The following is a 25,454-nucleotide window of genomic DNA, read 5'->3' as shown; positions in this document are numbered from 1 at the left end:
TGCAGCATAGCTGAAGTGTGGCTGGCTCTGTGAAAAAATATGTGCAACAGCTGCTTTGATATCAACACCTCTAGTGCCCCCTTTTGTTGCCTTCTCTCCCATCAGGAGCACCTAATGCCCACATATTTTCACTAAGACCTGCCCTCTCAGGGCTGAGCCCCGGCTCTCAAACACATTCTCCCCACTGCCTGTGAAACTCACGTATTGTGCCTTTCAATTGTTCTGATAAGTACCTGTTCTGATCCTACAAATAGGGTGCTAGCTTTCCCTGCTTCGTTTTCTCTCTTCTCCCCGCAAACTAAGAAATTTTTGTTCTCCACATAAATTCTTTTGGGTTTTCACAATGAAAATACAGGAAAGAGGAGAAGGAATGGAACATATCATTAATTTACTCTAAAGTGGTAATATCCCCTAATTACAATGTATTATTCATTACCAGTATATTCAAAGAAATTGGACCTAATGGTATCAACAAGTGGTACACTTGTTACAATTGATGAACTTACATTGACACATCATTATCACCCAAAATCCATAGTTCACATTACAGTTCACTCTTGGTGTTGCACATTCTAAGGACAGTCTTTGGACAAATGAACAATGACATATATCTAACATCATAGTATACTTTTTTGACCTCTGAACTTTTTATTGGCCTCCTGCTCCCCAAAGGGTACCCTGCTTCTGCTGGCTTAATGTCTCAGAACTTTGGTGTCGTTGGTCTCAGACACCACTTTGCTATCCACTATCCAGCGGGTAGTGGTATTTGGATGGTTTCCATGGATTTGCTGCTGTCCAGGGCATCACCAAGATTGAAGTCCTCACCATTTTCCAGCAGGCGGCGGTAGGTAGTGATCTCAGCCTCCAGCTTGACCTTGACATTCAGCAGGGCCTGGTACTCCTGGCCCTGGCACTGTCCCTCTGCCTGGGTCTGTGCCAGCTCTAACTCCAGGTGCAGCAAAATCCCATTGACCTTCTCCATCTGCAGGGTGTAGCGGGCCTTCACCTCCCTCAGGCTGTTCTCCAAGCTGGCCTTCAGATTTCTTATGGAGTCCAGGTCAATCTCCAAGGACTGGACTGTACATCTCAGCTCCATGAGCGTCATCTCAGTAGCTCCAACCTTGGCGGACTGCATGGTGACCACTGTGGTGTTCTCCTCAATCTGCTGAGACCGATACTTGTCCAGGTCTTCTCAGTTCTTCCGAGCCAGGTCGTCATATTGGGGCCAGATGTCTGCCACGATCTTGGCGAGGTCCTGAGATTTGGGAGCATCTACCTCCATGGTCAACCCAGAGCTGGCAGTCTGGGCTTGTAGGCCTTTTACTTCTTCTTCGTGGTTCTTCTTCATGAAGAGCAGCTCCTCCTTCAGAGCCTCGATCTCTGTTTCCAGCTGCAGCCGAGTGACATTGGTGTCATCAATGACCTTGTGGAGCCCACGGATGTCGCTTTCCGCAGACTGGCGCATGGCCAGCTGTGTCTCATACTTGACTCTAAAGTCAGCAGCAGCAAGGCAGTCATTGTTGACCTGCAGAATGATGCGGGCATTGTCCACAGTATTTGCAAAGATCTGAGCCCTCAGGTCCTCGATGGTCTTGAAGTAATGGCTCCAGTCTCTGACCTAGGGTCCCTTCTTCTCCAGGTGCTCCCAGATTTTGCTCTCCAGCTTCCAGTTCTCGGTCTCCAGGCTCCTCACTCGTCCAGGTAGGTCGTTCAGGCTTTGCAGGGTCTCCTCGTTCTAGATGCCTTCCATTCCTGCCAGGCTCCCAGGCCCCATGCCGCCATGTCCTGGAAGCCGGCAGAGCGGGACACGCAGATCTGGGAACCGGAGCCCCCGGCTCCTGCATAGATGCTGGCTGCACTGCTGACTGGCAGGGAACCGTAGCTGGGCTCCAGGACAGAGCCCTGGGACTGGTAATTGGTGGAGAAGGTGGAGCGAGTGGTGAAGCTCATGCTGTCCGGGGAGGAGAGCGAGAGGACAAGACTCGGGCTTTGCCGACAACATAATCATATATTTTTATCACTGTAAAAATTCTCTGTGACCTGCCTATTCATTCTCCCACCCCCAACCCCAACTTTCGGCAACAAGTGATCTTTTTACTGGTTCCATAATTGTGCCTTTTCCAGAATGTCATAGAGTTGGAATCGTATAGTAATGTAGCCTTTTCAGATTGACGTCTTTCACTTAATAATATGCATTTAAGTTTTCTTTATGTGTTTTTTGCGGCATGGTAGCTTATTTCTTTCTAGTGCCAAATAATATTCCACTGTGTGGATTTACCACAGTTTATGTATTCATTTGCCTCTGAAGGAGGTCTTGATTGCGTCCAGGTTTTGACAATTATGAATAAAGTTGCTAGAAACATCTATGTGCAGGTTTTTGTGTGGACATAAGTTTTCAACTCCTTGTAGACACCAAGGAGCGTGATTGTTGGTTCATATGGTAAATGTTTAATTTTGTAAGAAACTACCAAATATGTTGATAATGGAGGAGGCTATGCATGTGAGAGGCAGGGAGTATGTGGGAAATCTCTGTATATTCTGCTCGGTTTTGCTAGGAAACTAAAACAACTGCTCTACAAACATAAAGTCTGTAAAATAAATAAATAAATGAACATATATATGTATATAAACATATATATATATATATAAACACACACACACACACTATAGGAGAGGCTAATTTTACCCCTACACTCTTAGAGTTTTTTTGGCTAGGCCTGAGAATTAAATTGACATAGACAAATTAGTAGGAGAAAAGCATACAAATTTATTTAATGTTTTACATGATACTTAAGCAAATGAAGGCCCAAAGAAGTGGCAAATTCTAAGTGCTTTCATATTAGGTTCCACAATGGTAACTTTTATGGAAAAATTACTAAACTATGAGGAGAGGCTAAAGGAAGACATGAATTATTAACAAAGTCTGTTTGTACAGAATTCTCTTGGCCACACTTTTCATCCTTGCTGATGATATTACTTTCCTTCTGACACAGGGAGAACACCTTCCATATAGGGGTTTTATCTCCTGATTTCAGGAAGAAAAAGAGGGCTAGAACACACTTCTTGCACCTACCGTTGTTGGTGGTGATTTTTTTAAGTGCTTTTGGCTCAAAATAATTCTATCCCAAAGTGGCATATTTTGGGGTGGCATATTCTGCCATATATACATATACATACACATACACATACACATACACATACACATACACATACACATATACATATACATATATTCTAGCCTCAAACAGGTATGTAGTTCAAAAAGAAAGAAATCTTTGAATAACTATTTCAGATAGCTGTGGATATTCTTCTTTTATACTACACCAAAATTCAATATGTGGTGGTTAGTTAAAAGTGAGTTGTAATGCAGCATATGAATCTGTATCAGTGACCTTTCGGTACTCTTACATTAAAATCTATTGGTCTGTCTTGCACTTTGATGGAATATTTAACCCATACTTGATTTTGTGACATCATGCATTGACCATTTGGAAAATATTGGTTCACTGAGTTATGCATGTCTTCCAAATGTTGACATATTTCATTATCTAATACAAAACATCACATATTTAATATCACCACTAATCTCATCATAGAAGTCTTTAAGTACTGGGAAGCTGTCAAGCTCATAGTTTTGATACAAGTTTTTTAAATGTTAATTTTTACCCAAATGCTTGAATTTTGTCACTGGCAACATGTAGTGTAAATTATTTCCCTTAAAGGAATAGGCTCATTTTGTTCATTTTGGAGACCATGTTTGCCAAATCCCCTAGTCTGAATAATGATAGTTTGTCTTAAATTGTTCTTTCAAGTAAAAATGGCTTTCTGTGGACTGGCTAGTTAGGCTCACAACATAGTCACAGGAATGCCTTTCCTTGGGACATTACATGTTGATATGCAGCTGAAGCACTTCACAGAGGTACTTCTCATTTTGTCCCAGAGAATACTAAAGTGATGCATACTCAATTTTTATTGAATCTTAATTATTAATTTTAACCTTAATAATTTTCATTACTTCACCATGGATATTATTAAGTGGAATTTAATTTATTTTGTTTTGTTTTGTAATGTAAATGCATGGTGGTGAAGAACATACTGACTTAGGTACAGCTTGGTGCCATTGCTATGATTCTTGCTAAATTGCCAGTATTTTTTACCCACCATTGTTTTTGCACATCAGTAGAAATTTTAGCATGCTAAAGGCAAACAATATCTTCGTGTTATGAAGAACATAATTTTGACCTCATAGAATCCCTGAAAGCTTGTTGGGGACTTCTAGGGACCTGTAGAGCACACTTAGAGAGTCTCTGCCATAAACAAACATACAAACAAAATGCGACAACCAAAAGATATTTCAAAATGACTAAAATCCTTTGTTTGTGTTTCTTAAGCACGATGAAATAAACATATATTCAAAACAATGGTTGTAAAAGTGATTTTCCCCTTCCATCCAAAGCTCTCAAATTGTAACTACTCTTGTGCCTTTCTCTCTAACCCTCCTAAAAGCTCCCTCCCTAGTCACTGCCCAAGGTCCTTAAACCCTTTTCTATGTATCTCTTACCTGCTTAGTCTCATCTTAAAGGCTCAAAATAACTGGTCAGAAACAGGAGGAAAAATAAGCATCAGATCATGAGAACACTATAACCCTCTACTTATTGGAAAGGCAATAAGAAAAACGAATGGTCATATATTATTTTTGATGCCATATTTTAAATATTTTTGAGAAGCTGATGGTTATATATTGTGCCAAATACTGACTGTCCATAATGTCAATCTGAATGTCCATAACTCTTTCCTATATAACAGGGTCTGGAAGCCTGCAAAATACATTGCTTAAACTCTCTCACTGCTAGTGACAAAGCATCTTGCATAATATTTGGAAGGCAGAAGAGAGCACAGCCAATATTCTTCCCCAGCCATGGATGGTAGATGCCCAGGTTGATAGCAACCGTGAAGTTTACAGCTCCTTTTGAGTGAGCTCTTGTGAATTACCTACTTGAGTTCTTCAAGCAGCTGTAATCACCAGTCACTTACTGTGGTTCCTCAATTTCCACATTTCTTCAAAGGAAGCAGTGTTTCCATGAACCTTAATTGCCCCAGTCCTCCAACAGCTTTGTAAGTTTTGTAATTCCCTTCGTATTTAGTCATCCCTTCCGGGTAAGCCAAGAGAGGCAAGTACTTTCCTGGGAAAACTCTGACTGATAACAGAGTCTGTTTCCAAAAGTGGTTCCAAGATGCAGAAGCTCAAAGACAGGAATTGGGGATTTAATTATCTAATCTTGTTAGATTGGAAAGCAATTACGACTTCATCACCAGTGAAAGATGGGATACTAGCCATCCACGGACAGCAGTGGCAAAATATCTATAGCTTTGAGGAATGAAGTGTTTATTGTAGAAGAGCCTTTGAGAGATTGCTATTACAATAGGATTTTAAGAGGAAATAAAGACTGTAAGGACTATGAAATGGGCTGGCTGCATCTAAATAAAAGGTTAGGATTTCATATTCTCAGTTCAAGGCACAGACAGAGAACAAGAGAGCTTCTAGGACTGCCCTAAAAATATCTCTTATAGCCATATGGCTAATGCAAAAAATTTTTTTTCATCTGTAGGTTGGATAATTATAACTGAAATGAAATTCACAGACTTGCCAGGTCTCTTATGTAAAAGTTAGGGCATTGATTGAGAAAAAGTGAAAATTGGAATGAGGACATTTGGATAGATTCCAATGACTCTGAGAATCACGAACTTCCAAATGCCTCTCAGCTTTCCCTTTTTCCTATTTGAGATTAGCTTCCCTTTGCTTAAAGACCCTGAAACAATTACCTTGCACAGGGATACAGTCATGATTCACCTCCATCACTTCTTATTGCTCCCAGATTCATAACTAGAATCACAGACCAATAGGCTCTGGAAAGGTAAGTACAGAGTCTGACCAAGAAGGATGTAATGTACACATTGAAGAACTGCAAGATTTATATTACCAGGAACCTGGAAAACAATTGTAGGAATGCAATCTAATGATTTTAGACAAGAGAGGGAGAAACAGTTTTGGATATGGGCAAATTTGTTAATGTGGGTGCAGTTACCATAAATTTTAGATTCAATATTTAGTTTGAGGGTTGGGAATAAATCTATAAAGAGTTTTTCAATTGGTTGACTAAAGCCTGACCCAACAATGGGCTTCATTAAATAAAATTTGTATAAGAAGAAGAAATGCAAAGGATTAGGAAGATTAAATTTTTGGTGTAGATCAACCATATGTAACCTTTCACCCACCCCTTCCTATGGCCCAGAGGACATTCCAATCATGAAGGCATTAAGAAATATATCTGTGAAAGGAGAACCAGTATCCTTGAAAATCTCAGTGGTATCTGTCCTTCTGCAGCTCAGAGGTGACAGTATAGTATAACACTATTCAGATTGGCTACCAGGAGTTACAGAGGCCAATTGACAGCACTTAGCCACCGGAGATAAGGTAGCCAAGAGCATATTATTGAATAAAAGAACAAAGTCCCAATCCAAATAGTTTTATTCACAGATATCTTTTGCAGTGACTTTATTTTGTCATAGTGTTTATGGAATTCAAATGGTTTTTCAGCCTGATAAAGTCTTAGTTCACCTGTAAAATTTTTAAAAATTAAATCCAGTGTACAGGTATCTGACTTAAATAGCCATAATGAAGAGTAGAGGACTCTCACCAGTTTTCACAAATGAGCCAGTTAATAAGATCCCTTAAAATAAAGGGGAGCTTGGACTTCTGAAGGAAGGATTCAATGAGGTTGCAACAAGAACATAAAATTTCCTTCTAGCTTTGCCCAAAAAGTAGTGTACCTATTTATCATGATGATTATACTCTGGGGAAAGGAAAATACCCAGATGATTCTAGGTTTCTGGACCCTGGCTCTGAAATGACAAATCTTTAGATAACCCCCAAATTTTAGGACCCACCAGTTAGACTGGGGACTTATGGATGTCAGATAACACACAAAGTTTTGGCTTAAATACATCTTCCAGTGGGCCAAGTGGGTCTCTCATAGTTATTTTCCCAGGTTCCAAAAACATATTTAGCAACTGGCAGAACTCCCACTTCCCGACCCTTGAAGTAAGGGCTATTGTAATAGGAACAGCCAAGAGGAAGCCCCTTGAACTACCCCTTTACTACCAAAGTGATACATTAATAATAATTACACAACCCTGGGAGACTTTCAGAGATTAATATCATCACCAAAAACCTGAAAGTTATAGGGGCGGTGATTTCCATGACATTCACATAAATCTCCCCTATTTGTCTTGTGCAGAAGAAAGATGAATTTTGGAGAGTAACAGTAAATTATTTTAAACTTAATCAGGTTGTGACACCAATTACAACTACTGCCCCAAAGCGCTATCTTTTTGGAGCAAATCAATGCATCCTCTGGCATCAGGTATGCTACTATTGATCCGGTAAATGCTTTCTTCTATATACCAATTCATAAAGACCACTTGTAGCAAACAGAAATGATGTATTAAGCCTCTGACAAATCCAGATAAGAGAATTACAGTGCAGACCCTTTGGGGTTTTTGAGAAAAATCATCTTCTTTTCCACAGATAATTCTTCTTCTAAAGAATAACTTCTGGAGTACTACTGGATCCAAGCAGAGACTGAATGACTGAACAAGGTCCATCAAACAACCATATAGCCTGAGCTGCCCATCAGGAACTGAAGTTATCTAATGCCACCTACTTGGGTGTCAGCATCAGCACTCTAGAACCACGTGCAAGTACAGTTGATGGTTAAACAACGCAGGTTTGAACTGCATGGGTCCACTTAGATGTGGTTTTTTTTTGTTTGTTTTGTTTTTCAATAAATCTCTCCCGCCTCTCTTTCCACCTCCTCCATCTCTTCCTTCTCTGCCACCCCTGAGACAGCAAAACCAACCCCCCTCCTCTTCCTTCTCCTCTTCAGGCTACTTAATGTGAAGACTATAAGCGTGAAAACCTTTATGATGATCCACTTCCACTTAATGAATAGTAAATATATTTTCTCTTCTTTATGATTGTTTTAGGAACATTTTCTTTTTCTCTAGCTTATTTTATTGTAAATATATAGTATGTCTTACATATATCATAGAAAATAGCTGTTAATTATCTGTTTATGTTATTGGTAAGCCTTCTGGCCAATAGTAAGCTACTAGTAGTTAAGTTTTGGGGGAGTCAAAAGACATACACAAATTGTCAGCTGTGCAGGGGTTGGTGCTCATAACCCTCTCATTGTTCAAGGGCCAACTGTAGTATAAACAAGACCATGCTCAAGCAGGCCTTGAAGGCACAAATAAGCTATGGGAGAAGTTGGCTCAGATTCCCTGGCACCTACTCCCTGCTCGTTGTCACCTCTCCCCTGGCCCAAACTCACAGCCCTATGATTAGTTCCAAGAAAGAAACAACTTGGACCCGATTTTGAGATGATCTGATTTTGAGATAATTCTGCATGGTGTACTGGCACTACCCCCAAATGGAGTGGTATGGCATTTCAGCTTTATTCATGGCTAGTCCTCAAGAGCATAGTGAATGGTCCATGATGGCTGTAAGGAGCCACTAAAAGGATAAGAAAGAGATTCTTACCTAAGTCTCCCTGATGCCCATATACAACATTACATTTTATGTATCAGAGCTCAAGACTCCAGTGTTTTCCTATCACCCACCCACTGCTATTCCCCTCCACGGCCCCTCACTGCGGCTACCATTTATTCACTACTGTTCACTAGATGCTCTCCCAGCTTCGGGATTCGTTTCAAGATGGTGCTTCTCTCTGAGTGACCTTTCCCACCCAACCCGCAAAGCTGTCACCTGATTAAAGCCTTTTGGATTTGCCACTAATTACCACTCTCTCCCCTTCTTACACCTATAGAATTTTTTCTATGTCTTCCCCTGTCTTGCACTTTACATCAATATGCCCTAAACAAGGGGCCTGAAATTCAAACACTTAAAGAGGTGAGGCAGGTTACTTGAATGTGTGACAAAGGCCTGGCAGTTGCACCTTAAATTCATCGGGTTATTTTTACTTCTCAAAGGGAATATGCTGTCCTCCACATTTCTTAAAACATGGGGTCCTTTGGACCTTTCGTTTCCCACTTTTGATACAGACATAGGTACAAAACTATTTCCCTAGTGTTTTTTCACACTTGTTAACAAATAACCACTAAGACTCAACCTCTGAGCTGGGAAAGAGGGACTGGTGACGACTGTGGCAAACTGAAAAACTCATCCTGTCAAAATGGAGAGACTGCACTCAGTTCCTGGTGAGTGTGTGGTGGAATAATGGGGCCCTATCTTGGGGTTTTTTTGTTTTTGTTGTTGTTGTTTTGTAGAAACTGGAAATTCAGATTTTTATGTGAAATTATACAATTTCAAGTTTAGCCTCAAATTTGCTACAGCAGTGTGCCAGTCAGAAACTAAAGGAATTCACAGGCAGGAATGGGCCTCCAGGCAACAATTTGCAACTTCTGCCTGTGGTAGCATGAGTTCCTTGAGGGCAAGAAATGGTTCTTATTCACTTGTGTATAAGAGCTCAGGACAATGACTGGCACGTGATACCTTCTCATTAAATATTTGCTACCTTTAGTTAAGTTTTCAAGAATCAAATAAAATTGTGTCTTGTCTAATTCTACAGCTAGAAATCCTTAACAAAAGAATTTTTTCTTACACCTTTTACATACGCCCCAGAGCCTAGCACATCACTTGTACACTGTAGAAGGGAAACACACCAACTGTTTGTTAACAGCTTGGTTTGATTTTGCTTATCAGATGAGAAGCAAGCTATGTCCTAAGGCTTAAGATTAGGGAACATAAGACGGATGATTTTGATAAGGAGAAATAGGTCAAAAGAGATATTAAATGCTGCCCTCAGGAGGTACGATGAAGCAACTCAGTGATTTCTGAACAAGAATATGGGAATATGTGAGAACCCTGGACCTTTGGGGGACTTGGTGACACAATAAACCCTGCTTACTTGACTACTATTTGTTTGTTTGTTTGTTTGTTTTTTGTAAATGCACTGCTTGCTAATTTCATTTTTAAAACATCATTATTTTCGAGTTACTACTCTTTGAAAACATTTATAACTCTGGGCAGTTTTTTCAGTTTGAAAAATTCAAAGAGCAAGTCCCTGGGTCTTGTACAAGTGTCTTCCGCCCCGGGTCATAATGAGGCTTAAGGCTTTGCTTCTGCAATACCAAGCCGTGCTATGGCTGCCACTGCTGAATATGACTTATCAGGAAGGCTGCTGATTTATGATGGTCACCTTAAACATAACTTCAAATGTCCACTCTGAATAGAACCATAACATATGAAGAAAGGTTTGCAGAAAAGGCTAAAGAAATGGACTTGGTTTTTGAATTTTTCAAGTTGAGGAAACTCCCCAGACTTATAAATGTTTTCAAAGAGTAATAACTCAAAAATAATGACGTTTTAAAAACGAAATTAGCAGGCAGTGACAAATAAATAATAGCTGCATATCTATTCATATACGCTACTGCCATATAATGTGGCTAAAAGTGAAAACAAGAACTGTTTTAAATAAACTACAAAAAGACATAATTTGCTGAGTCAATAGTGAGTTGCACCCAATTTATTTTAAAAGGATCAATTGCAAATATTTCCTGTTAAATTATCATACCATACATTAAGTATTTGCCTTGTCTAATATATAATGAATGCATTTTTGCAAATTTTGCCATATGTTATAATGCATTTTAGATTCATAATAATGACAATATTTTATTATGCATATACAAAACTCATGAATTTGAAGACCCTATAGAATATGAAAATTTTAGTAAGCAAAACTTTGGTTCCAAAATGTCATTTTATGGGACTTTAGATCTTATTTCTTTGTGATAACCAGCCCCTCACCCTCCCCAACACACATTTCCAATTTTATACCATATAAACAAGAAAATATTCAACTGGATACAGAATTAGGTAATAGTTCTTAGCATATGAACACATGTCAAAACACCTTAATATCCCACAGTAGTGATGCTACCTTATAAACGGGCACATATTCAATAAAAATTAGCCAGACATGAAGGCATGTGCCTGTAGTCCCAGCTACTAGGGAGGCTGAGGTACAAGGAGCACTTGAGCCCAGGAGTTCAAAGCCAGGCTGGTCGAAGTAGCCAGACCTCATCTCAAAAAAATTAATTTAATAAATATTTACTGAATACTTACTGTGTGTTGGACACTGTAGGTACCGGGACGATATCAGTATACAGACAAAAAAGCCTACCTGGAGCTTAAATTCTAAGCCATTATGATGTTTTTAGCCCCATTTTGCATTTTGTGCTTATTAGATATTCTGAAATAATATTATTTATAATTTATATATGTTTATAATTACAATTATAAAATATAGTGTTTAAGTTTTCAAAGTACTTTCAAATGCAGGCACAAATTGTCTTATTTTGTTTCACTTCATTGTGCTTTGCAGATACTGAGCTTTTTACAAATTGAAGGTTTGTGGTAATGCTATGTTGAGCAACTCTATCAATCTGCACCATTTTTCCAACAGCATGTGCTCACTCTGTGTAGCTGTGTCACATTTTGAGAATTCTCACAATATTTCAAGACTCTTCATTATTATTAAATCTGTTATGGTAATCTGTATTCAGTGATTTTTGAGGTGACTATTTAAATAGTTTTGGGGTTCCATGAACCACATCCATATAAGATGGCAAACTTAATGGATAAGTGTCGTGTGTGTTCCGACTGCTCCACCAATTAGCCTTTTCCCCATCTCTGTCCTCCTCTTCAGACCTCCCTATTCCCTAAGACACAATGATACTGAAATGAGGCCAATAAACAGCCCTACAAAGGCTTCTAAGTGTTCAAAAGAAAGAATTGCGTATCTCTCTCATTTATTTATTTATTTATTTTTATTTTATTATTATTATACTTTAAGTTTTAGCGTACATGTGCACAATGTGCAGGTTTGTTACATATGTATACATGTGCCATGTAAAGCTAGAAATAATTAAGCTTATGAAGAAGGCACATTGAAAGCTGAGATAGACCAAAAGCAAGGTTTCTTACATCAAACAGCTGGCCAAGTTGTGAATGCAAAGAAAAAGTTTTTGAAGGAAATGAAAAGTGCTACTCCAGTGAACACACAAATGATAAGAAAGCAAAGAAGCCTTATCACTGATATGGAGAAAGTTTGAGTGGCCTGGATAGAAGATCAAATCAGATATAACATCCCTTTAAGCCAAAGCCTAATCCAGAGCAAAGTCCTAACTCTCTTCAAATCTATGAAGAATGAGAGGTAACGAAGCTGCAGAAGAAAAGTTTAAAGCTACCAGAGGTTGGTTCATGAGGTTTAAGGAAATGAGCTGTCTTTATAATATAAAAGTGCAAGGGGAAGCAGTAAGTGCTGACGGAGAAGCTGCAGCTAGTTATCCAGAAGATCCAGCTAAGATCATTGACGGGGTGGCTAATCTAAACAATACATTTTCATTGGGGATGAAACAACTTCCATTGGAAGAAAATGCCACCTAGGACTTTCATAGCTAGAGAGATGTCAATACCTGGCTTCAAATCTTCAAAGGACAGACTGAATCTTGTTATAGATAATGCAGCTGGTGATTTTACATTGAAGCCAATGCTCCTTTACCATTTGAAATATCCTAGGGCCCTAAAGAATGATGCTAAATCTATTCTGCCTGTGCTCTAGAAATGGAGCAACAAAGCCTGGATGGCAGCACATCTAATTACAGCATGGTTTACTCAATATTTTAAGCCCATTGTTGAGACTTACTCATCACAAAAAAAAACTTTCAAAATATTACTGCATTGACAATGTGCCTTTTCACCAAAGAGCTCTGACAGAGATGTACAAGGAGATTGATGTTGGTTTCATGCCTGATAACACAATATCCATTCTTCAGCCTGTGGGATCAAGGAGTAATTTCAACTTTCAAGTGTCATTTAAGAAATACATTTCATAAGGCTATAGAAGCCATAGATGGTGATTCCTCTGATGGATCTGGGCAAATTAAATTAAAAATCTTCTGGAAAACATTCACCATTCTAGATACCACTAAGGACATTCATGATTCATGAGAGGAGGTTAAAATATCAACGTTAAAGGAATTTGGAAGAAGCTGATTCCAACCCTCATGGGTGATTTTAAGGAGTTCCAGACCAGTGGAGGAAGTAACTACAGATGTGGTGGAAATAGCAAGAGAAATAGAATTAGAAATGGAGCCTAAAGATCTGACTGAATTGCTGCAATCTCATGATAAAATGTGAGTGATGAGAAGTTGCTTCTTATGGATGAGCAAAGAAAGTGATTTCTTGAGATGGAATTTACTTCTGGTGAAAATGCTGTGAAAATTGTTGAAATGACAACAAAGTATTTACAATAGTACATAAACTTGGTTGATAAAGCAGCAGAAGGGTTTGAGAATAGTAAGTTAAGTAACCAACATCAAACAGCTACAAATTTTTAAAGAAGTTCCACTGTGAGAAAAATGCTATCAAACAGCATCACATATTACAGAAACGTCTTTGGTAAAAAAAAAAAAAAAGTCAATTAATGTGGCTAACTTCATTGTTGTCTTATTTTAAGAAATTGCCATAGCTACGTCAACCTTCCTCAACCACTGCGCTGATCAGTCAGCAGCTATCAACGTCGAGGCAAGACCCTCCACCAGCAAAAAGATTACAACTCACTGAAGGCTCAGATGATTGTTAGCATTTTTTAGCAATAAAGAACTTTTTAAATTAAGTATTTTTTTAGACATAATGCTACTGCACACAACAGGCTATACTATAGTATAAACATAAATTTATATGGATTTGGAAAACAAAAAATTTGCATAACTCCCATGGTTGCAATATCATTTCATTGTAGAGGCCTGAAACCGAACCTGCAATATCTCTGAGGTATGCCTGCACATTCTCAGTTAATTTTCACATGTCCCTGGCCTTGAAGTAAGCTTGGCAGATATTACTATCTCTCTGTTACTGGTGAGGAAACTGTAGATGATATATTCCTGCAGTCACTGTCCTAGGATTTGTATCATCTCTCTCCAATCTACACAACTGTGAGAGTACTACAAAGAGGTAGAGTCAGAGGCTGAATAAAAGCTTGAAATAGTTGCCACAAAGAGAGAATGAGAGCAAGAGAGAGAGAAGGAGAAAGTGCTAACTGGAGAAACTTATTAAGAATGCCAGGAGCAGTTGAGATTAATGGCTGTGGCAGTCATTGACAGTTCATAAATACTAGTATTTGGTTCTTCTCATTCCTGGTACATGATAAGATTTTACTTTTCTAGACCCTTGAGTGCAGGTAAGGCTACCTGAATTTCTTTGGCCAATGAAAGATGAACAGAACCTTTCCCCTTGTTTCAGGGGCTGTGGATAGTGAGCCGAGGTGGAGCCTCCATCACCCTGAATCCCTGAATGCCTAAGAGGAGAAGAGCCCCTGCCAGCCCACTCTGGACTTGCAACATATGAAAGAAATTTGTATCATGTCAAGCCCTTGATTTTGAGATTTGTTGTTTTGCTTATGTTTTGTTTTGCTTCTTACTGTTTTAGTTTGCTTGTTACTGCAGCAGAACCTAGCCTACCCTGACTGATAAAAATGATGGATGTTTACGGATATATTTGTCTGGTTGTGGAATTTCTTTTCCTACAATTGTGTTCAGTGGCTCAATTGTAGGCACAGAAAGCAGAGAGTGAATTCATCTGGGGCTGGAATTTTGTCAGGTGATTGTAAGAAAAGGATTTTGGGATTTTGACAAGACAGTGATTGAAACTGCAGACCATGAAATCTCAGCTTGACTAGGAAGGAGGTCAAGCAAGAGGAGGCCAGTGAGCAAAGAGAAAGTAGATGGGTCAAGGGACTGGCTATTTTGATAAAGTGGGCACTTACTTGTAGAAAAAGTACATGAATAGTCAAACTTTTAAAATAAGGAGTTATGATTGAATCACAAGTTTATTTAATTAGAGATTTTTGAAGGTTCTGAGGTTCTGGCAAAACCTCTGGACATGACAAGGTATAAGATGTGAAAATGGAACTGAATGACTCAGCTGGAGAGATGTTTGAATAACAGAGGTCATAGAATAGAGAGGCTGTGTGCTAAGCAGGCCAGCCACATGCATACTTGAATTCTTCACATGCACATTTGAATGGTGGCAGGAATTAAGGTAGAGAGGAAGACAGTGAGCTTGTTGCCAATGTCATCAATTCATGAGTGGGGAAGAGAAGTAAGTGGGCTACAGGCCCTACCTTTCAATTCTAAGCTTCACAGGGTATGGCAGAGAAAAAGCAGCCTCTAAGCAAAAAGGCTGTAGGACAAGTGATCTTACAAGGTGATGGTCAAATTTCTGTGGAGGTGAAAAGATTGAGGGACTGTTCCCTGAAGAAGTGGATGAAGGCCATGATTTGGAGCCACAGAAGAAGAGTTTAAATGGCTCAAGGGAAGAGTTTAACAGGTGTGGGGGAAAGTGAGAAACTGGACCAGGGAGAAGAAGGACAAAGCATTATTAGGATGAAAGTCAGCGAGGTGAAGCATGACCAGAAAGGTGTCCTTGGCAGTGGCCAAGGAAAATAGGCATTTGAGGCAGGGAGGAATTAGGTGGCTCTTAGGGCTGTGAAGAAGGTGGAGCCAGTTAGGACAGTGTGCTCTGAGTCTTTTGTGCTCAATTGTGTGCTGGCAGGGAGGACTAGTTGCTATGCTCTGCAAATGCACATTTCTTTTTTGCAAGCACGGATCTCATACAGGCTTAAAGCCTGTACCTGTCAAGGGATGCTTTCAGGAAACTGATCTTTGTTTTATTCAATCTCAAACAAAATACTCAGCAAAGTGTTAAGATTGTTTTGCACTGGTTGCTATAAGTCAGTCTCCAGAACAATCAGGTAAGAGATGATTAATCCAAACCTCTCATTTATTAGATGAGAAAACTGAGGCCCTAAGAATGGTCCAGACCATATCAATATTTTTTCATAGAGCTGGGTCTGCAGCTCAGATCTCCTCTCTCTTGCCCTCTCTCCACTCTAAATATCCAGTATCCTGGAAGAGCAATGGCAGGCCATTGTCACAGAATAATAACTGATAGTTACAGCTAATACTTGTTAAGAATTCACCAATAGCCAAGCTCTGCACATTACAGCTAATTCTCCTAACAACCCCATGTGATGTAGGCCGTGTCATTATCTTTATTCTAATACCTATGTGACCACCCAGGATTAAAGAAGTTAAGTGACCAAGATCACACAGCTACGAAGTGGCAGATCTGGAATTCACCCTTCCATTCCAGGGGCCTCACTCAGCCAATATAGTATGCTTTATCAGTCACTGTCACATGTGTTATGGCTTCCTCATTCTCCTTTTTTAATGGAGTCAGATAGAAAAGTAGTGGGTTTCCTTCTTGCTAAATATATAATTTCACATATCAGTACATGCTCTACTCCGACACCTACATAACTTGGGTGTGCAAACACCTGTTTGGGGACAGGTTCTTCCTGAACATCTCTTGGCTATCAGTTTCAGGAGCTACTCACTTCTGGGGAATAAAGCAAGAAGGGAGAAGGGTATAAATGTAAGTGTGAAGCACTACATTTTTTCAGATTTATTTTGGTTTCTGAATTCATCGGTATTATCTGAGAATGGTACCTGCCTCCTCTTTCATTGTAGGAAAGTTGCAGAGTGGCTTTAAAGCTGCTTGAGTTTGTGGAGTTCTTAGGTAGTCATCCAAAGTTTCCACAGTTTGGGGAGAGCTGTACTGAAGTCAGCTTTAGGATAAAACTGGAGAAGGTGGTAATGCAGGCAGGCACACATCCAAGATGTCTGCTGTTTCCTAAAGTCTCTTCCAAGACAGAGAATCTCTGACTAGCAGGAGAGAAGGGCTGTCAGTTGTAGCGGAAGCCGGTCTGCTTCTTGGCACAGGTGGTAGTTATTCAGCAAATGTTTAGTGAAGTCCTTTTGTGTTTTAGGCATGTGCTAGGTGCTCTTCAGGAAATCACATTCCCACTGGGCAGACGAAATAAGTGAACAGAAACCTGTAACGCTATGTGGCAATTTCTACACGATGAGCGCATGCAGGGTGTTAGGGAAACCCAGAGGAGCAGCTTGGGCATCCTCAGAAGCCTCCTTCCAAGAGATATTATGGAACCACAATGACACGAAAGCAACCATCTTCCCTCAGAGAAGCATAATAAGCATATCATTGGGGAATTTATTAGTTTTATTCATCGGGACAGGCAAGGTCACATTTTGATCATGAACTGATGTTTGTATGCAGGTCCTGGAAACTATACTGTGCACTAGAGGAAAACTGGCAAAGCAAGATACTAAATTCGTTCCCCCAACCTTTCACAATTAATAAAGTTACCATCTTTTGTTTCCATGGCACTTGGAAGCTATGCGGGATTGCCTCTGAATTGTTTCAATAATGTGCTGTTTAGTTCCTTTGAGTACTCCATACTTGAGGTGCCAATTTACCTTTTCCTCTGATAAAGAACAGTCAGGAAAAAGAACAAGAGGAATGGCTGAACAATTGAAACACCAGCATATTGAAAAGGTCATGGCACCACCACATGCTATTTTAATTTCTAAATGTTTTAGGCATCGTAAGTCGTTTTTGACACTCTATTCTACTGACAAATACTAAAAAGGGACTGGGAAGGGCACATATTATTTCAACTGCTTGTAAAACATGATGAGAAGAGTAGAAATGGTACCCAATTAATCCATTATTTGTGTAGCATTTTCATTTGAGGTCTGTTTTGGAATTGTCTTTCTGTGAGAAAAGGTAACAGTTGTAACCTAGTGGTTACCACAGTGATAGAGAAGAAACTAGGCATTCCTCTAAGTAAGCCAACATTTAAACCTTCTTTTTTCTTCTTCTTATTTATATTATGGGTTCTCATAGAGCATGTGCTTAGCAACTGATTTGCTTCCCAGAAACTTTCAACTAGCCCAGTAGTAATTAATATTTGCCCAGAGTTATCACTATACTAAGTGGTTACGGTGGACAGTGTTACCCAGTCTCCTTCTGTCTCTTGGTCTCTCCCAACAGAGGCTGAAAAACCAAATCCTGTTGAATCTCCCTTGCACACGGTGGGGAGCCATGCCATCCAGTTCTGGACTATATAACACGTAAGTGAAAGTCTGCTGAGAGAGTTCTGAGAAGAGGGAAACAGAAAAAGCCAATGCACCCTTTTATTTTCTTCCTGAATGGGACTTGGGAATGATTTCTAGAGATTCAGCAGCTATCTTGTGACCATGGAGCAATTAGCCAACTTGCTAAGGAAGCTGGAATAGAAAGATAAAAGGATCCTGAGTCATTGATGTTGCCATGGAGCTCTATACTTGCCTACCTACCTGGAGAAAAAGATGAACTCCTGTTTGTTCAATGTATTGGAATTTTGATTTTCTGGTACTTGTAGTTGGGCCAATATTTAGGTTCTAGGAGTCTCAAATTCTTTGTGTTTTTTCCACAATTTCCTTGTCCCTCTCTGTAATAAGAATTTAAACTTACATTGGAAGGGAAGACAAATGATCCATTAGTAAATTATTTGATCTAATTATTGAATGACTTCAGGCTCTTCTCTCTCTCTTCAATTACTAAAGTAGTAGTTGGTGCATCATGTCTCTGCTTCCTCTCTTTGGATGCCATGTTTATGCAGTGTTTTTCCTGTAAAGTTAAAGAGCCTAGTGTTAAATTAAAACTAGACATACAAAAATTTCTCTGAAAGCAGGAAACAACAATGAACCTTTCTCGTAACTAGACATATGGGCAGTATTATGAATATATCTTATTGAAGTGAGCAGTCGAAGTGAGCAGTTTATCCTATAGCGGATGCTGTTGGTGGCCAATCCAAGATCCTTTTCTCTTTCCCTTGCCAGCAGAGCAAAGTGTCTGTGTATCCTTCCTCCCGTGACTGAAGAGATTCCCCAGTTACAGGGCTTCTGTCAAATCCAATCATAGCAGCTCCATTCCCCTTGCCAGTGGTTGGCCTGGGAGCTACCTAGTTCTGATCAATAAGACATGAGAAAAGGTCTTCTAGATAAAATGATTTCCTCTTCCTCTGTGCATTATTGGATCTGGCTGTAACTCCTATCCTGTGACCAGACAAAGCCAACTCACTATGGATCGCAGAGGATTAAAAGGGAAAACCCAGATCCTTGATGATAGTGTTGAGCCACTGAATGTAATCCTGAAATTCTTCTAACTTTAGACACCTTTTTGTGATAGATACTACATTTTTTAATTGTTTAAGCAAAATCGAGTCAACTTAAGGCACTGTATCTGACTACACAGTTTCCTAATCGCAGTGAAGATTTGGCACGATTAAAAAGCACAGCAGGTTGGCTGCTCTCTGGGACCACCCAGCATCAGACAACATGAGGAAGCTCCCTTCAGGCAAGACCTGAAAATCTCCCTGCCTACTGGTTCTTCCAGGTGGTCTGAACATTCATTACTGCTCCACACAATAGCCATGGCGTGACCGTTGGCTGGAGAATCCAGCAGACAAATTGAAAAACTGAATCTAACTAATGTGAAGTAGAATTGCTTAAAATAGAATAGTTACTGCTGTTAGCTGAACTGAGTAGGTTACAGAACACACGTCAGTTTGTGCAACAAAGTCTAAATGGTTTATCTTTTTAAGAATTAACACAATGTTTGGGCATTTTACTTTTTTTTTTTTTTTTTGAGACGTTATCTCGCTCTGTCGCCCAGCCTGGAGTGCAGTGGCGCGTTATCTCGCTCTGTCGCCCAGCCTGGAGTGCAGTGGCGCGTTCTCGGCTCACTGCAAGCTCCGCCTCCTGGGTTAACGCCATTCTCCCGCCTCAGCCTCCCTAGTGGCTGGGACTACAGGCACCCGCCACTACGCCCAGCAAATTTTTTGCATTTTTAGTAGAGACGGGGTTTCACCGTGTTAGCCAGGATGGTCTTGATCTCCTGACCTCGTGATCAGCCCACTTCAGCCTCCGAAAGTGCTGGGATTACAGGCATGAGCCACCGCGCCCAGCCCGGGTATTTTACTTTCTTGAAAATAGGATAGTGGGCCAGGTGCAGTGGCTCACGCCTGTAATCCCAACACTTTGGGAGGCCGAGGAGGCGGGTGGATCACATGAGGTCAGGAGTTCGAGACCTGCCTGACCTAGATGGTGAAACCCCGTCTCTACTAAAAATACAAAATTAGTTCGACGTGGTGGCACGCACCTGTAATCCCAGTTACTCCTGAGACAGGAGAATAGCTGGAACCCGGGAGGCAGAGGTTGCAGAGAGCTGAGATCATGCCATTGCACTCCAGGCTGGGCAACAAGAGTGCAACTCCGTCTCAAAAAAAAAAAAAAAAAAAAAGATGGTGTAGAATATGAGTCTGGCTTTGAGTGAAAGCTGCCAGGATTCAAATCCCATCATTAACCACTATTACATTGAGCAAGTTTATAGTACTTTTCTGTGCCTCCATTTCCCCATCTATAAAATGGGCGTAATAATAGCACTTTATAAGTAATAATGGACATAAAAATAACAACTGCAGAGAGTTGTTGTGAGGATCTAATAATTTTTATTACATAGTAGGTGCTATATAATTGTTAGCCAGCATCATTATGCATGGGCTGAATTGCAGACATCTTTTCTTTCTTCACTGTCCTCTTGGGTGACAAGTAGTCCTGCATTCATTAAACTCTGAATTAATGCTGCTTGAATTTAAGTTTTCTATGCCTGCCTCTGGAAAATTTTGACTATAATATGATTTACCTAATAATTATCTACTTCATGACAGGAGAAAATAATATCTTGAATATGCATTGTGCTATGTTCTATCTTTTATAATTAATGCTGTTACTACTAATAGCATCACTAAAAAGTGCTTTTGATCATAGAATCCTTACTTTTGTAACCTGGTAAATAAGTCCTGGATTGCCTTAATCTTAATTTTTAAGGTTATGTAAGTGATAATTTATTCCTGTAAAAGACTGTGGTAATTTCCCTCACTTGAACTCATATTTCCCAGTGATCATTATTCTTGTAGTAGCTATCATTCACCTCTATGCTGTAATTTAAAATTTTCCCCTCAAAATATAGCCATGACCCTGACAAATGCTTTCTCAGTGGGATATCTTTCCTCAACAGTCTAACATTCTACTCTTCTTTGCATATAATTTAATTTTACTCTTTCGAGAAAATTGTCTCTAAATATCCTGAAAGCAAAAAGTCTGGAAGGAAAATTATAGTACCTGGGTTTTCTTTCTAAGCATTCGAACTGCAGAATTCTACAGCAGAATAAAGACTCTTATTTATTACAGGCATCTTATCTGTAGAAAAGAGTACTCACACTTTTAGATAAGACCATTGGCTGTTTTGGTGTTAAAGCCATAATTATATTGTAAAGATTAATCTCCAACTTTCTTGTCTAATTTTTTTATTTGATATAGCTTTGGTTTTTTTCCATAAATTCTTAACCATAAATAAACTTATAAGTACTGACATTTTTTTCCTGCATAAAAATCCTTTATTTATTCATTTAAAATTATACTGCCTAGTTTATTATACCAGGTGTTATATTAAGCACTGGGGACACAAAAGTGAAGTGAACATAGACTGTATTTTCTATAATTTCTGTAATTAATAAGACTGTTAGAAGTGGTAATACACATAATCACCTCTTAGCTATTAGAGTACAAGAGAATGGCATAAATACTACTTAAGTAACATGCAAATATGTATCTAAATTGCCAGCTTCTACAAGAAACATCTTTTTCTAAATGTTAAAAGAAATAACAAAAGTTGTGCTGTGTTGTGTGTGTTGTATTTAAAAGTTCCTAAAGAAAAATCAGGGGCCAATTTAAGAATGATCCCCCCAAAATTTAGGAAGATCCACACTGGTTGCAACATTTTGCAAAATGTAGAAATTCCATCCATTATAGAATGGCAAGACTGAAAATGTGGAATAACACTAAAATCATGCAACAGACACGTGATAATTTGCTTGTGACCAAGGAAACAGGGTCATAAATGTTGCAAAGATTATAGTTTTTTTTTTTTTAATTGATGGGAGAGAGAAAAAAATGGCAACACGTTCTATATGACAGGGGAGAAGGCCAAGAGGGCCTGAGAGACCCTGTAGATAACAAGTAACAAGAGCTTATCTCTGAGAGATTTAGAACATTAATTAAAAGTCACCATTCCATCAGCAAGAAACCCTACCTACAGGCACAGCCTGAACCCCAGAGTTTGGGAAGCAGGGCAGCTCGTGGGCATCTGACTCCAGAGGAAGGAAGGGAGAATTAGATGACAATGATGATGATGAATAGCTAGCTCTTAGGGCATCTACTATATGCCAGGCTCTGTGTCAGTGCTTACCTATCATTTCATTTACATCCTCCTCTGAATGATCCTCAGAGATCATTATTACCAATGAGAAAACTGACAAGCAGAGAGGCCATAAGACTTGCGCGAGCTCACTGTTGAATCCTAACCTGCAGTTTGGAACCTCCTAGAGCCTCTCTCACTTGGGACATCTCTTCAGTGTCTCCTTCAAAGATTCTCCTTTCCTTCTTCCAACCTTATTTACATATCTGCATCCTGTGGATACTCTTCTAGGTCCAGCCAGAGCTACTAAAGGGGCCTCCAGGGAACACAGCTGCCTTTTCTGGCTGTAGGAATTTAACTCCCCTTGCCTGCACAAGAAGCAGATCAGTGCTGACTCATGTTTAAGCAATATTCGTGCGAAATAACTGCATCTCTCAAAGACAACTAACGTTATTTAGGGGCTGATCACCCAGTCTGTGGACTGAGGGTGGATGATGAAACCTCGTCAATAATGTTACTTTGAAGTCATAGAGAATCTTTCATCTAAAAGGGCTTTGTAGTTAAGAGATGAGTGATTACTTAAATTTTTAGTAAGTTCTAGGTTGGAGTTGAGAAAATAAATTAGAGTTATGGATTTCCATAACATATTTTAGTACAATGTATTTATGATAATTTCTACTTTCTATCCTGAACTTTTCTAAGTATTCAAGAAAAGTTTAAAGCATTACAGCCGTTCCTTTAGTTGAGAGTTTAGCAACATGGTTTTGCTAAGTTCTTATAAATTAATAAGGATAATAACTAATGTTTTTACAGTGCTTTTAAATTTATAGTCCTCTTTCCCTGGCAGATAAGAATATTGCTTAATTTCTCAGATGGAAAAATGAAGGTGGATGATATACCCAGGTTCGCCCAGCTAATAAGAGTCAAGTCTGGTCCTTCCTACTGTGCATGAAAGACCTGTCTCCTGCCTCCCACTGCCCTCAGTTGCCAGCATATGATATATTCCTTAGATTGTGAGTTAGCTCTTCAAGTCAGAGATGTTGCTTGGCAATAGATGGGTGTTCAAAACTGTTTGTTTAATAAGTAAGTAAATGAATAGTAAAGCATTCTTACTTAAATTGTTTCCATTTAGCTCATTTCCATATTTCATATTACAACCACTCTCCTGTCATAAGCAGAAGCCTACCTGTATAGAAAGAAAATGAGATCCAGAGAGGTTAATTAAATGCCTAGAGTCCTATAAGTGATTTAGTAGCAGAACAAGAAACACCGAGCTCCAATTCTATTGCATCTGAGTCAATCTTTGCCAGTCTACTTCCAGCCTCCTCTGTTTTTCAGTGCATGCACTCTCCTGGTAATAGGTAACCAAGAAATGTTTTCTTTCTAGGATACCTAGCCACAAATACATTTAATGGAAGAGCATGACACATACTATGTTAACAAGATAGCACTTGTTGCTGACTGTTTCCCATTTGGATCTCAACATCTCAATCTAACTGGACGGCATCAGTAAGGATTGTTGATGATCAAGTATCAGGCAAACAACTCCATTTAAAACATTACTCACACTAAAAAAAAATGGACTTGTAGAAAATAACTAGTATAGATTTTTTAAATAAAGCTAAAGAATTTCACATAATTGCATATAGATAGTGGCAAATTGCATTAAGTGAAACACATTCTTTGGATTTGTATAAAAATAAGAAAAACGAGTAATAAATATTTCTAGTTTAAAAAGAGTCTCTAGCTCCACAAAACATACTGTTAGTAACAATAGAAAAAAAAACGGATATTTCTCATAAGAGGGTAGTAATTCCTTATTATAATGGAGTAAATAGCAATCAAGATGATCCAAATTAATTTTCTTTTCTAAAAAAGATAAGTTGCTTTGAATAAATACAGAGCAGTGGGATTGCTGGATAATGCAGTAGTTCTATTTTTAATCTCCTGAGGACCCTCCATACCGTTCTCCATAATGACTGTACTGATTTACATTCCTACCAACAGAGTACAAGGGTTCCCTTTTCTCCACATCCTTGCCAACACTTGTTATTCTTTGCCTTTTTTATGATAGCTATTCTAACAGGTGTAATGTGATTTGTCATTAGATATCTGCACTTCCATGTTCATTGCAGCATTATTCACAATAGCCAAGATATGGAATCAAAGTGTCCACTAACAGATGAATGAATAAAGAAACTTCAGCCCAAAGCAATCTAGAGATTCAATGCAATCTCTCTCAAAATGCCAATGACATTTTTCACAAAAATATTTTTAAAATCCCAAAATTTGTATCAAGCCACAAAAGGCCCCAAATAGTCAAAGCAATCATGACTAAAAAGAATAAAGCTGCAGGCATCATACTATCAGACTTCAAAATATACTACAAGCTGCAGTAACAAAAACAGCATGGTGCTAGCATAAAAACAGACACAGAGACCAATGGAGGAGAATAGAGCACAGAGCAATTAATTCATGTAGCTACAGCCAACTGACTTTTGACAAAGACATCAAGAACATACATTGGGGAAAGGACAGTCGCTTCAATAAATGGTGCTGGGAAAGCTGGAGATTCATATGCAGAAGAATGAAACTAGACTCTCTCCTTTCACTTTATATAAAAATCAACTAAAAATGAATCCAAGACCTGAAACTATAAAACTACTGGAATAAAACATACTGAAAATGCTACAGGACATTGGTCTGGGAAAATATTTTATGAATAAGACCTCAAAAGCACAGGTAACATAAGCACAAATAAACAAATGGGATTATATGAAACTAAAAGGCTTTTGCACAATAAAGGAAAGAATCATAGAGTGAAAAGACAATCTACAGAATGAGAGAAAATATTTGTGAACTACTCATCCAACAGAGATTAATATCCAGAATATATAAAAAACTCAAAGAACTCAACAGCAAAGCAAACAAAGAAACAAACAATCTGATTTAAAAATGAGCCAACTGCAGCACTATTACAATAGCAGACTTGGAACCAACCAAAATGCTCATCAATGATAGACTGGATAAAGAAAATGTGGCACATATACACCACAGAATACTATGCAGCCATAAAAAAGAATAAGTTCATGTCCTTTGCAGGTACATGGATGAAGCTGGAAACCATCATTCTCAACAAACTAAC

The 25,454-nt window shown here is 39.0% G+C and overlaps 1 long non-coding RNA gene and 1 pseudogene across 2 annotated transcripts in view; both read right to left on the bottom strand.

The window, feature by feature from the left end:
* Nucleotides 634-2,000, bottom strand: KRT18P42 (keratin 18 pseudogene 42; annotated as a pseudogene).
* Nucleotides 15,954-25,454, bottom strand: part of LOC105379117 (uncharacterized) — a 122,892-nt gene continuing 113,391 nt past the window's right edge. For both annotated transcript variants that reach the window (XR_001742838.2, XR_948660.3), the window contains 2 exons: nt 18,524-18,679; nt 15,954-18,297 (listed from right to left, as the gene is read on the bottom strand). This is a non-coding gene — a long non-coding RNA (uncharacterized LOC105379117). The remainder of the gene's footprint in view (nt 18,298-18,523; nt 18,680-25,454) is intronic.

The sequence above is a fragment of the Homo sapiens genome, chromosome 5, assembly GCF_000001405.40.
Source record: "Homo sapiens chromosome 5, GRCh38.p14 Primary Assembly".
Taxonomy (NCBI): Eukaryota; Metazoa; Chordata; class Mammalia; order Primates; family Hominidae; genus Homo; species Homo sapiens.
The sequence above is the reverse complement of the archived record's forward strand: the minus strand, read 5'-3'. Positions and strand labels throughout refer to the sequence as shown.